General features: G+C 53.8%; 2 annotated features.

Annotated features, from left to right (window-relative positions):
* Positions 7,642 to 8,275: an enhancer, noted in NCBI's record as "H3K4me1 hESC enhancer chr1:9445883-9446516 (GRCh37/hg19 assembly coordinates)". NCBI's record gives its function as "activates a minimal SCP1, AML or CMV promoter by ChIP-STARR-seq in naive H9 embryonic stem cells {active_cell/tissue: H9 hESC(naive)}" and the evidence as "EXISTENCE:reporter gene assay evidence [ECO:0000049][PMID:30033119]".
* Positions 8,276 to 8,909: an enhancer, noted in NCBI's record as "H3K4me1 hESC enhancer chr1:9445249-9445882 (GRCh37/hg19 assembly coordinates)". NCBI's record gives its function as "activates a minimal SCP1, AML or CMV promoter by ChIP-STARR-seq in naive H9 embryonic stem cells {active_cell/tissue: H9 hESC(naive)}" and the evidence as "EXISTENCE:reporter gene assay evidence [ECO:0000049][PMID:30033119]".

The following is a 13,629-nucleotide window of genomic DNA, read 5'->3' as shown; positions in this document are numbered from 1 at the left end:
CTGGACACTGGCAGGGGGTGGCTGAGGGGCTCGGGGTTTGGTATTTGGTGGAGGAGCTAGCAAAAGATGATTGAAGCAAAACTGTTGCAACTCTCCTCGCTTTGCCCCTTCCTGGTGAACACCTACCTCAGTTCTCTCTCCTGCCAATGGAGACCCTGTTTTCTGATGTTTTGTTCCAAGATGGTCTAGAACAGCATGTGGGCATGGGAGAAGAAAGCAAGGGTGGGTCTCCGGAGAAATCTCGTGAATGCACATGTGAAAACCAGCAGGGAGGAAATAGACCAAGGTGCCCACGTTCTCAGCAGCAGCAGCATGACAGCCAGGTAGCCAGACAAGGAGCCATCAGGGTCTCTGTGGATGCAGTAGGAACAGAAGAGCCACAGACCTCCTGTAGACATCTGGGTGGGATGTCACTGCAACAGTAACTCTTCTCTTTTACCTTTCTCTTGTCCCTCCGGATCCTGGCTCTGCCTTCCCCCCTCTCTCTCCGTGTCCTTTCCTCCTCTTTTTTTAGACAGTTTCACTCTGTCGCTCAGGCTGGAGTGCAGTGGTGCAGTCTTGGCTCACTACTCACTACAACCTCTGCCTCCCAGGTCCAAGCTATTCTCATGCCTCAGCCTCCCAAAGCTGGGACTAAAGGCATGCACCACCACGCCTGTCTAATTTTTGTATTGTTAGTAGAGACGGGGTTTCCCCATGTTGGCCAGGCTGGTCTCCAACTGCTGACCTCAAGTGATCCGCCCACCTCGACCTCCCAAAGTGCTCAGACATGAGCCACTGCACCTGGCCCTCTCCTCTTCTTATAGGGACACCTGCCATTGGATTTAGGGAACCGCCCTAAAACCGAGGTGACTTCATCTCTAGATCCTTAACTGGTTACATCAGCAAAGAACCTATTTTCAAATAAGGTCCCATTCTGAGGTTCTGGGTGGGTGTGAATCTTTGGGGATATGCATCAACCTGATGCAAGGGCCCCTTGGCCTTGCCGTGTCCCTTGACTGAAGGGCACTGCTCCCCTGAGGGTGTCCTGCTGTGCCCGGCTTGCATTCTGGTTTGGGTAATTGCTCCCCACCATCGTTCTTTTGGGCCTAGGAGTGGAGACAGTGCTGCCATCGCCAGCCCTAGGTTCCTTCATGTGCCACTTCTCTTTTGGGGCTCCCCTAGGGCCCCATCTTATAAATAAGCCCTCCTAGAATTATCCCGAAGGTGCTGTCATTTCCTGTTGGGACACTGATGGGTACAGTGACCGGCATGGAGCACCGACTCCATCTCCTTCCATCCTCACAATTACTGTCATTCCCACTCGAAAGGAAGGGACAGAGGCCCCAGGAGGCCAAGGTGCTTGCCCGAGGCCTTGCAGCTGAGATGGGGCCCACAGGTGGCCTCAAGACTTGTGCTCTTGGCCACGGGGCTTCAATGCCATGGGCAACATCCTCCCTCTCTCAGGGTCCCAGGAAAGCCAGTTCTGCCTCTGGGAGGGGTCCTTCGGGTCCTTCAGGAGGAGGGGGGTCTGACTGCTTGGTTGCTGCAGGTGAGAGAGACCCAGCTTTAACTCGCTTCAGCAAAAGAGAGAATGTATCGGCTCCTGTGCCTCAAGGTCCTGGGGGTGGCCTGGCCTGAGGCATCTCTGGATTCAGGTGTGCACATGCCGGCCTGGAATAGGCGCATCCCCTGTCTCAATGCCCTGTCTCCCCCAGGAGCTGGTTCCTTTTGCAGCAGTGGGGCTATGATGCCTCCCGGTGTCTCCAGACCCTCATCCTACCAGCTCCAGAGTCTCAGCAGAAAGAGAGTTGCTTTCCCCACGGTGCCTGTGAAGGTCTCAGGGAAGACACTGGTGGACTGGGTCACACGCCTGAAAGGTGGTTTCCCAGAGGACCATCAGGGTACCTCCGAGACTTCTGGGAAGAACAGGTGCAGCCTGGGCTCCAAAGCTCTAGTGTGCCAGGGAAGGCAGACAGAGTAATTGGTCAACTGAGGGGAAGGGAGAGAGTGGACGTGGGAGTGGGGCTTCTTCTTCCATGTCGCAGTGTAACTGTCCAAGGGGTTCACCTCGCCCGCTGCCTAGACAGAGCCGATTCATCAAGACAGGGGATTGCAATAGAGAAAGGGTAATTCACGCAGAGCCGGCTGTGCTGACCAGAGTTTTGTTATTACTCAGATCAGTCTCCCTGAGCATTCAGGGAACAGAGTTTTTAAGGATAACTTGGTGGGTGCGGGAAGCCAGTGAGCCAGGAGTGTTGGTTGGCCAGAGATGAAATCACAGGGAGTTAAGGCTGTCCTCTTACGCTGAGTCAGTTCCTGGGTGGGGGCCACAACATCAGATGAGCCCGCTTATCGATCTGGCTGGTGCCAGCTAATTCATCAAGTGCAGAGTCTGCAAAATATTTCAAGCATTGATGATTTTTTCTTTTTTTTGAGACAGAGTCTTGCTCTGTTGCCCAGGCTGGAGTGCAGTGGCAAGATCTTTGCTCACTGCAAACTCCAACTCCCAGGTTCAAGCGATTCTCCCGCCTCGGCCTCCCAAATAGCTGGGATTACAAGTGCCTGCCACCATGCTGGGCTAATTTTTGTATATTTAGTAGAGACGGGGTTTCGCCGTGTTGGCCAGGCTGGTCTTGACTTCAGGTGATCCAACTGTCTCAGCCTCCCAAAGTACTGGGATTACAGGCATGAGCTACCGTGCCTGGGTTCAAACGCTGATCTTAGGAGCAGTTTAGGAAGGGACAGAATCTTGTAGACTCCAGGTGCATGACTCCTAAACCATCATTTCTAATCTTGTGCCTAATGTTAGTCCTGCAAAGGCAATCTAGTCCCCAGGCAAGAAGGAGGTCTGCTTTGGGAAAGGGCTGTTACCATCTTTGTTTAAACTATAAACCAAATTTCTCTCAACGTTAGTTCAGCCTACGCCCAGGAATGAACAAGGACAGCTTGGAGGCTAGAAGCAAGATGGAGTTGGTTAAGTTAGATCTCTTGCACTGTCTCAGTCATAATTTTGCAAAGGCGGTTTCAGCAGGGGTCCTCCCATGCTGAGGAGGGGTAAGGGGACAGTCAGAAGCTGCTTGGGGAGGGACAGGCAAGCACCTGGATGTTTTGTGTTGGATGGAGAAGACACAGCCTACCACATGGGAATTGTCCCCCTGTTGAAAAAGCCAAACTCTGTAAAATATTTGAAGAGATTTGTTCTGAGCCAAATGTGAGGACCAAGACCAGGACATAGCCCAGGAGGTCCTGAGAACCTGTGCCCAAGGTGTTTGGATTACAGCTTGGTTTTCTGTGTTTTAGGGAGACATAAGAGGCATCAGCAACACACGTGAGGTATGCATTGGTTCAGTCCAGGAAGGTGGACAACTTGGAGGGTGGGAGTGTGGGGCAGTGGGGGCGTGGCTTACAGGTCACAGGTGAATTCAAAGATTTTCTGCTTGGCAATTGGTTGAAAGAGTTATATTATCGAAAAACCTGGAATCAGTAGAAAGGAGTGTCTGGGTCAAGGTAAGGGGTTGTGGAGACCAAGCTTCTAATAAAGTCTCCTGGGTGAGTGCCCTTAGAGACAGTAGATGGCAAGTGTTTCCTACTCAGATCCTTAAAATGTGCAAGACTCTCAGTTAATCTCTTCAGGATTGGGAGGGCCTAGAAGGAGGTAAAAACTTAGTTATGTTAATAGAGATTCTTTACAGATGCAAATTTCCCCACTCAGGCTGGAGGGCAGTGGGTGATTAGGGCTCACTGCAGCCTCCACCTCCCAGGCTCAAGCCATCCTCCTACCTCAGCCTCCCCGAGTAGCTGGGACTACAGACATGCTGGGACCACCATGTTGGCTATTTATTTTATTTTTTTTTATAGAGACAGGGTTTCACCATGTTGCCCAGGTTGGTCTTGAACTCCTGGGCTCAAGCGATCCTCTTGCCTCAGCCTCCCAAAGTGCTGAGATTACAGACATGAGTCATCACGCTTGACGGATTTCCTTCTTTATCTGTTTCTTTATCTGTCATGCGATGTTACGTTGGAGTCAGGTTGAAAAGTGAGCCACATTAGATCAGGTGAACTAAAACCCATCTGATGAGATTCTACGGTTTCTAGGGTGTGACTTCTGTAAACCAAAGGGTACCTGAGACAAGTCTTAATTTAGGAAGTTTCTTTTGCCAAGGTTAGGACACGCCTGTGACACAGCTTCAGGAGGTCCTGATGACATGTTTATTATACAAGGGGATCAGGGCACAGCTTGGTTTTATACACTTTAGGGAGACATGAGACATCAGTCAATATATGTAAGATGTACATTGGTTTGGTCTGGAAAGGTGGGACAATTCGAAGTGGGGAGGGGGCTTGCAGGTCACAGGTAGATTAACAGAAAAATGGTTGCATTCTTTTGAGTTTCTGATGAGCTTTTCCAAAGGAGGCAATCAGATATGCATTGATCTCAGTGAGCAGAGGATGACTGAGTTCGGTCTGTCCTTTGTCCACAAGGAATTTCCTTGTGGACAAATTGTGAGGGAGGTATGTAGCCTTTTTTTTTTTTTTTTTTTTTGAGGTGGAGTCTCACTCTGTCGCCCAGGCTGGAGTGCAGTGGCGCGATCTCGGCTCACTGCAAGCTCCGCCTCCTGGGTTCACACCATTCTCCTGCCTCAGCCTCCCGAGTAGCTGGGACTACAGGTGCCCGCCACCACGCCCAGCTAATTTTTTGTATTTTTAGTAGAGATGGGGTTCCACCATGTTAGCCAGGATGGTCTCGATCTCCTGACTTTGTGATCCACCCACCTCAGCCTCCTGAAGTGCTGGGATTACAGGCGTGAGCCACCGTGCCCGGCCATTTAGTTTTTTGTTTTTTTTTTTGTTTTAATCTTAGTAGCTTTTTTTTTTAAGGAATAGAGTGGGAGGCAGGTTTGCCCTAAGCAGTTCCCAGCTTGACTTTTCCCTTTAGCTTAGTGATTTTGGGATCCCAAGATTTATTTTCCTTTCACACTCCCTAGGCCCCTTAGGTAGGAATTTGGGCAAGAGAGAAAAAAGGTCAGAATTTAGTCCTCACCCCCGACCTGGTCCCAAAGACTTCAGCACCATAAATCTTCCCCAGGGACAGATGACTCAGCTCCACCCCGGCTGGCCAAGCTGCTGCTTCAAAGTGTGCCCTTCCAGCTTCAGGCACTGTGGCCCCAGATGCTCCCCACGGAGGCTCTGGAGGAACCCTGCCTACCATAATCAGGCTATGTGACCCTGGACCGCCCTTGAACCCTCTGGGCCTCAGCTTCTCCTGCTGTAAAAAGGGGACTTGCTCCCCTTTTTTGAGAGGCTCTAGTGGGACTTCGGATGTTAGCAGATTACCCAGGCCTTAGGAGATATTCAGCAAGTGCCACGCCCAAATCTAAAACCCCAGCCTCTGAGCTTCCCCAGGGGTGCAGCAGAGTGGGGCACTCGACACTTATCCTGTCTGTGGACGTCTCCCTTTTGTCTCCTCTCAGATCAGCTTGTGCCTGGACGGCCTGGAGGCCCAGGAAGTCAGAGCGGCTGGCCAAACGCTGCCTTTGTCACCCTCAACATCCTCAACAAATGCTTGTTTGAGTGGCTGATGTGCGAGCTGGGAGGGCTTTGTTTATTCCAGATCGTGCATTGAATAAATACGTCTTGAGCTAACACAGTGCCAGGCAGCGCGGGGCACAGAGAGGCTGAGGGGACAAGGCATGGCTCGGAGTCAGAACAGTCTCTGTCTGAACCCTGGCCCTGCCTCCTGACAGCTGTGAGTCACGCTTTGGTCAAACCTTTCCCCTTTTGTGCCTCAGTTTCCCCCTCTATAAAAAAGAGGACAGAACTGCAACCTCGTAGGAGTGCTGTCAGCATTAAATGAGGTGGAGTGTTCTGGGGGGCTTTGCGTGGGGCTTTCGGAGCTGGTTTATGGAATAGCCTGGAGTCTTTTGATTTTTCCTCCAGTCCCTGCCTGCCAGCTGTGCAAGGTCAAACTACTCTCCCTGTTCTTTGACTCACAGATTTTCCTATCATTTTCATTTTCTTTTCTTTTTTTTTTTTGAGACAGAGTCTCACTTTGTCACCCAGGCTGGAGTGCAGTGGTGCAATCTCGGCTCACTGTAACCTCTGTCTCTTGGGTTCAAGCGATTCTTGTGCCTCAGCCCTCCCAAGTAACTGGGATTACAGGTGTGTGCCACCATGCCCGGCTAATTTTTTTTTGTATTTTTAGTAGAGATGGGGTTTCCCCATGTTGGCCAGGCTGGTCTCGAACCCTTGACCTTAAGTGATCCACTGGCCTCGGCCTCCCAGAGTTCTGGGATTACAGGCGTGAGCCACTGCGCCCGGCCCCCATCATTTTCAAATGTAAAATGCTCAGGCCTGTGTATTGAAATGCTCTGGTCTCTTCTTCATTCTTCCCTTCTGCTTCTGTTTTAGCTCTTCCCGTGTGTTGGGGAAGGGAGGGTTGGCAACAAGTCAAGAGACCTGCCGGTTTGGTCCTGCCCTGGTCCTGGTCCTTTCTAGAGGGGCCATCTTCACCCCCATTCTTCCCTCCATTCCTGTCCCTGGGGAGGAGGGATGAACGGCTGGTCTTCCCTTCTTTTCTTCGCCCTTCCTTGTTTCGTAACCCACTTGCATCTCCCAGTATTTTCTCCGACTCCCCTCCTCGCAGCTGGGACGGGGAGACATTTGGTGGGGCAGGAAGCTGGGGGCGCAGCAAAGCTGGTTCCACGGCCCCCACAGGTGAGGGGACACCTGGCCTGGTGATCAGTCTCTGTGTCACGACGTGGGTAGAAGCTGGGGCCACAGGAGGCTTTCACTCGCTCCTCTTCTAACATCAGTACTATTGAATACTTGGGCAGAGAGGCATTTTCTTCTTGCTTTGTGCACTGTTGGTGTAAGGGGAGAGAGTGAAGGGAAGGAGAAAAGCCTCCAGTGTGGATAGCCCCTTTCATGAAGGCCTGCAGGCACCCCTCCATCTGAAGAGCCCTGTCCTGAGCTGGGGACTGGCGGGATGGCCCCTCCCCATTGCAGATCTGCTTGGTGTGATTTTGGGAATTCCTTACCGAGTATTCGGATCTAAAGATTCCATTTAGGCTGGGTGCAGTGGCTCATACGTGTAATCCCAGCACTTTGGGAGGCTGAGGTGGGTGGATCACCTGAGGTTAGGAGTTCAAGACAAGCCTGGCCAACATGGCAAAACCTTGACTCTACTAAAAATACAAAAATTAGCTAGGTGTGGTGGCACACCCCTGTAGTCCCAGCTACTCGGGAGGCTGAGATGGGACAATCGCTTGAACCTAGGAGGTAGAGGTTGCAGCGAGCTGAGATTGCACCACTACAGTCTGGGCAACAGAGCGAGACTCTGTCTCAAAATAAATAACAAATAAATAAGCCATTTAGATAAAGAAGGTCAGCAGAGATCCCGACAGAAGGACGCCTGCGTCTTCCTGGCTGTTGTTGAGCGGGGGAGGGGCTCAGGGGCTTCTCGGGATGTGCTGTGCTGGCGTTGGCCCTCCGAGGGTCAGCCCGTGGCCCCCGTTTTCCTCTGGCTTGGCCCTCAAGGGCCCTGCTCTCTGTGACATGGGGGGCAGGGTTTGGAGAGCCTCAGGGCTGTGGATCAGGGAGTCAGCGTGGTGTTACCAGGTCCCACTCGGGAAGCCTCCCTTCCAGGATGGGCCGGAGCACTGGATTAGAGGCCTGCATGGCAGGGACCTGGTCCCCTGGTCAGTCGTAATGAAACCAGAAGCTCCACCCCATCTGTAGGGCACATACGGTGTGCTGAGTCATATCCACCCCACGGCCCTATTCCCCACCTTCAGCCGGTTCCATCTTACAGAATCCTCTTCGTTGTGTGTAAATCTCCTTCTTCTGCTCACCCACTGTCCCCTGTGGCTCCCCGCACCCATATGAGAGGCCGAAATGAAGACTCTACTGACCCAAAGAGCAGCCAGGACTTTTGTTCACGAGACTCCATCCGAATGGGGAAGGGAGGGAAGGTGGTGCGGGGCTGCCTTGAACAGGTATTCAGGTTGTGTACTGCACGAGGGTATCTCACCCACCAGGGCGCCATTCTCGGTGTAGATGTAAACTAATCGATTGAGAGCATGTGGGTGAGTGTGGAGACTTGGGCCTGTGCCTGGGGCCTGGAGCAGGAAGCTCCACACTGGCCTGGACACACAGGGAGATGCCAGCACACCCTGCACTCCCTGGCACACCCACATAACGTGTGTAGCAGCACTGTGGCCACTGAGCTCAGGGGACACCCCACTCCCTCCGCCTGTCTACTGCCCTGAGACCTGAGCCCACCCTATCCAGCTCCTCAAGGGCAGGCATTCAGCGTTCAAGGAGCAAATAAAGGAACAGTCAGTGAATGAGCAATGGAGGGAGCGAGGACCATGAGAGGAGGGGCGAGCAACTGAAAATCTCCACTGTGAGCCTTCATTTCTTGGGCTGAGCACCTTTTGTCTTGGGTGTAATCCCAGGCAGTCCCGGGTCTGGGTCCTGCAGCCTATCCCAGGGCAGGCGGGGCCCAGGAACAGTGGGTAACGCCCTGACTTTGGAGTTCAAAGTTAAAGCCCCAAGGCCGGGCGTGGTGGCTCACGTCTGTAATCCCAGCACTTTGGGAGTCTGAAGCAGGTGGATCACTTGAGGCCAGGGGTTCGAGACCAGCCTGGGCAACATGGTAAAACCCCATCTCTACTAAAAATATAAAAAATTAGCTGGGCATGGTTGTGCACGCCTGTAGTCCCAGCTACGTGGGAGACTGAGGCACGAGAATTGCTTGCACCTGGGAGGCAGAGGCTGCAGTGAGCTGAGATCACGCCTCAGCACTCCAGCCTGGGCAACAGAGTGAGACTCTGCCTTAAAAAAACAAAAAGAAAAACAAAGTAAAGCCCCAGATGACTGCCTGGGTATCCATTGCCCAAGCAGCTTCCTCAGGCCACGTGGAGTGGGGAGCTTCAAGGAGAGATCCGACGGATACTTCACCAATGCGGCCCCGGTGGGCCATTCCAGGAACACGGCACTCCTCCCTCCTGCCCACAGGTGGTGCGGGCTCTGCCAGGCTCCCCCGGGCATGGGGTGCGGGGCAGAGCCGGGCAGGGAGACTGGGTGAGCTCTGGCACAGCCAGCCTGCAGGGAATGTGCCGGCCCCTCCCAGGCTCTGGCAAGAGACTGGAACACAAAGCTATTTTTATTTATGATAGTGTCAGTGTGCTGGCCTCCGTCTAGACGGCTGGTGTTATCATTCGAGGCCATCCTGGAATGCGCAGCCCCATTTATTGAGAACAGAGGACAGTGTGCAGATTAAACAGCTCGTAAAAATAAGCTGGGAACCGACACTGGGCCAGGAAGACCAAGGTAACATTGGCTAGGTCAATTGTCCTCATTCGTTTTGGACACGGGAATGTTTTCAGAGAAAACAAGGAGAGATGTGGCCCTGGGAAAGCCATCACAGTCCTGCTGGTCACAGTCCTGCTGGTCACAGTCCTGCTGGTGCCCCCTCAGCAGAGACATTGTTGGTGTAAGGGGAGAGAGCGAGGGGAAGGAGAGAAGCCTCCGGTGTGTATAGCCCCTTCCGTGAAGGCCTGAAGGCACCCCTCCATCTGAAGAGCCCTGTCCTGAGCTGGGGACTGGCGGGATGGCCCCTCCCCATCGCAGATCTGCTTGGCATGGGAGAGGAGGAGGAGGGTGGGATGGAGGGGCCACCTTGCCTGGGACAGACCATCCAGAACTGCTTAGACTCGATGGGAAGCTCCGTCTCCCCTGGCCTGGAAGCCAGGACAAGCAGCTGCCACCCTCTCCCTGGCTTTCTGCCCTTGGCACGGGGGCCATTGCTGGCTACCCCAGTTATCTGGGCTCCATGGGGGAGCTGGACCCTGGGGATTGATCGAGGAGTCCCGTGTCCTAGTCAACTTACCACTTTGTTCACTTATCCATCCACTTGCTCATTTTTTGGCCCAATCAATCTACAAATGTGTAATGAGTGCTTACTTACAAGGTGCCAGGCAGAGGCTTCCAGACAGACATGGGGAAGAGGGACATGAAAACACAGACTGGCTTGGTGTGGTGGCTCACACCTGTGACCCCAGCCCTTTGGGAGGCTGAGCGGGAGGATTGCTTGAGCCTGGGAGGCAGAGGCTGAAAGGCTGCAGTGAGCCACAGTTGTACCACTGCACTCCAGCCTGGAGACAGAGTGAGACCCTGTCTCAAAAAAAAAAAAAAAAAAAAAGGGCGGGGGAGTCCCAGTGAGAAATACTGGAGATGCCCAAATCTGGGCGTCACTCTTTTAGTTCTTTTTTTTTCTTTTAGCTTTATTGTTTTGGAGACAAAGCCTCACTCTGTCGCTCAGGCTGGAGTGGAGTGGCACAATCTTGGCTCACTGCAACCTCTGCCTCCCAGGCTCAAGTGAGCCTCAGCTTCTCAAGTAGCTGGGACTACAGGCATGCACCACCATGCCCACCTAATTTTTGTATTTTTAGTAGAGATGGGGTTTCACTATGTTGCTCAGGCTGGTCTTGAACCCCTCGGCTCAAGCGATCCTCCTGCCTCGGCCTCCCAAAGTGCTGGGATTACAGGTGTGAGCCACTGCGCCCAGCCTGATTTTTCGTTTTTTTGTAGAGACAGGGTCTCCCCATGTTGCCTAGGCTACACTCTCTTAGTGAAAGAGCTGCCCGATGCCTGTGAGAGAAGGGGGGACCCCTGGGCCCAGGCTTCCTTGCTGTCAGCCTTCCCCTTGCCAGTTCCCACCCCTCTGGTCTGCAGCCCCGAGCCTGGAGGTGGCTTTCCTCCCTCCCCAGGGCCCATCTTCCCCTCCTTGAACACCCGCGCCATCTGCTCTGCACAAGGTCCCCGCAGGTCCCCCCTGGGAAATCCATCCCAGAGTCCCCCCTCGGGGAAGCCCTGGCAGCTGGCACCCCAGGCCGGGGTCCTGGAAGCCCATGGGCTGTGGCCACTCTATGTCTCCCTCCCTTTCCTGGAATTCCCGGGAGGCGGGGACTGTGGGGCTGAGCACAGCATGCGTGGGAGCCCAATGGACTTGGGCTTGACCTGTGGCCTCAGTGTGCATTTAGCTGCCCTGAGTCCCGGTGTCTTCATCTGTAAAGTGGAGATAAGCACAGACTCTCTGTCTCAGGGTGAGGACTGCAGGGATGAGGGGCTAAAGGAGGTTAGGCAGTGCCAGCACACACAAGGGCATCACTGATGCCAGCCAGTGTGACCCTGCCTTTCCCTCCATCGCGCTGCCTCCTACCTTCAGAGCCTGCCTCCGAGGGTGACCCATGGGGAACGAGCGAAACTGTTCAATGCCTGCATGAGCAACGCAAGAGGAGGAGGTCGGCTGGGAAGATCCCCTTGCTTCTGGCATCCTCAAGGGACCCGTTTCTCAGCTCCAAACAGAAAAGTCAATTCCTGGGAAAGAAAAGGAAGAGAAGGCAGCAAGGATGGCCTTGACCTAGCCCTTCCCAAGGGGCCAAGCAGCTGCAGTGAAGGCTTCTGTGCGGACACTGCCTGGGCAGCACGAAGAGGGACCCAGGTCTGGTCGGGAGACAGCGCTCCCCCCGGGAACCAGCACAGCAGAAGGGGAGCGCTGGGCTGCAGCTCTGTCCTTTAGCAGAAAGTCACGGTGCCCCTCTGAGCCTCTGTTTCTGCTTCTGAGAAACAGGTACAGCAGCAGCTCCCCTGCAAGGTCCCGAGGCTTGCCTGGGGTGGAGTGTGCCTAGTGTCCAGGGAGCGCCGGCTGCGGTCTGAACGCCTGAGTCCTGTCCTGGCTTCTCCTGAGAACAAGAAGACAGGCCAGCAGCAGAGCCCATGCTGGGTGAACTCTGCAGGCATGGCGAGCCCAGCACTCAAAGACAGCCTCTCCTTTGCGCCAAGGGAGAGAGGAATGTGGTCCTTCTGGATACCTGGTGCATGTCCCGTCCCCATCCTCACCCTGGCCCTGGCTGGAGGTGCCAGTTCATTCTGCATCGCCCGGAAGGCGGCCCTGGCTTTCAGTGTGGAGTCCTCCATCCTAACCTGCCCCCTGGCCTCCTCCCTTGGCCTGGGCCTCCTTAGTCTTCATCTTTGGCAAAGACCAGGGTTTTTTGAGATGGAGTTTTGCTCTTGTTGCCCAGGCTAGAGTACAATAGCGCGATGTCGGCTCACTGCAACCTCCATCTCCCCAGTTCAAGTGATTCTCCTGCTTCAGCCTCCCGAGTAGCTGGGATTACAGGCGCCTGCCACCACACCTGGCTAATTTTTTGTAATTTTAGTAGAGATGGTGTTTCACCATGTTGGCCAGGCTGGTCTTGAACTCCCGAGCTCAGGTGATCCACCCACCTCAGTCTCCCAAAGTACTGGGATTACAGGCGTGAGCCACTGCGCCCGGCCCAAAGCCCAGGGTTCTTTTCTGAGGTCCTCTAGAGCGAGTTTGCAGCCCTGCCTTCCTCCATTCAGCTGAGCTGCTCCTGTCCCATCCTCTTTTCTTATTTATCCAACATGCTTTTTTTTTTTTTGAGTTGGAGTCTTGCTCTGTTGCCCAGGCTGGAGTGCAGTGGTGTGATCTCAGCTCACTGCAACCTCTGCTTCCCAGGTTCAAGCGATTCTCCCACCTCAGCCTCCTGAGTAGCTGGGACTACAGGTGTTTGCCATCAGGGCCAGCTAATTTTTTTGTATTTTCAGCAGAGACAGGGTTTTGCTATGTTGGCCAGGCTGGTCTCAAACTCCTAACCTCAAGTGATCTGCCTGCCTTGGCCTCCCAAACTGCTGGGATTATAGGCGTGAGCCACGGAGCCCAGCCCATGTGCATTTATTGAACGCCTACTATGTGCCGGGATCAAGCAAGGGACCAGAGGACACAGCACCACCCCTCCCATTCCTGTGGCAGGAAAGCCCCAGGGCAGAGTTCACTCTGTCTCTAGGGGCCACATTCAGAACCCAATACACTGTCCTGCACAGAGCAAGGGTGAGTGAGTGCTGAAGGAATAAGAGCAAGACTTCTGGGTCTCAGGAAGCCCTTGACTGCCTGCAAGCTGCCTGGGATCTGCTGAGGAAGGTGGCATAGCATAGGGTCAAGACCTCAGGGTTTGATGCCAGTGAAGCCTGGTTTTCAGTTCCATCTGTGTGACCTTGAGCAAGCGAATGAACCTTTCTGAGCCTGTGGGGTCACAGCAGCACCTGCCACGGAGAGCTGGTAGGGGATTACATGCATTAATGCATGCAAAGTGCTTTTGCTAGACAGGGTGAGTTCTCAGAATTATGTCATTGGCAAGATGTGAATATTATAATCATGCCTGTTTGGGAGGGCAGGTTCGGAGGCTCAGAGAGGTGCGGTCATTTTCCTAGGCCCACAGATGAGTGGCGGAACTATAGCCCTGTCTTCTACCCGTGTCCTAGGTCTTCTACCTGGATCTCTTTTTCTGAACTTACTACTCTTGGGAGGAGCAAACTCCAGCTCCTCCTGGGATCCTTCCCAGGAAATGAATTCAGGAGGATGGCAGTCTGGGTTTGCTCTTGGCCGTTCGGGAGCCTGGGAGGTGCTGAGTCCTGCTCCCATCCACTGCCAATGCTCCATTGTACAGCATCTCCAGGCTGGCCCACCGCACACTCAGAGTGCCTGAGGGGCTCATCTCCAGGCACACACAAGGTCTGGGATCCAGGACACTCTGGGGCTAGCCGCCCCACATGGCATTGAGT

This window comes from Homo sapiens, chromosome 1 (genome assembly GCF_000001405.40).
Source record: "Homo sapiens chromosome 1, GRCh38.p14 Primary Assembly".
Classification (NCBI taxonomy): domain Eukaryota; kingdom Metazoa; phylum Chordata; class Mammalia; order Primates; family Hominidae; genus Homo; species Homo sapiens.
Note: the sequence above shows the minus strand (reverse complement) of the source record. Positions and strands in the feature narration are given on the sequence as shown.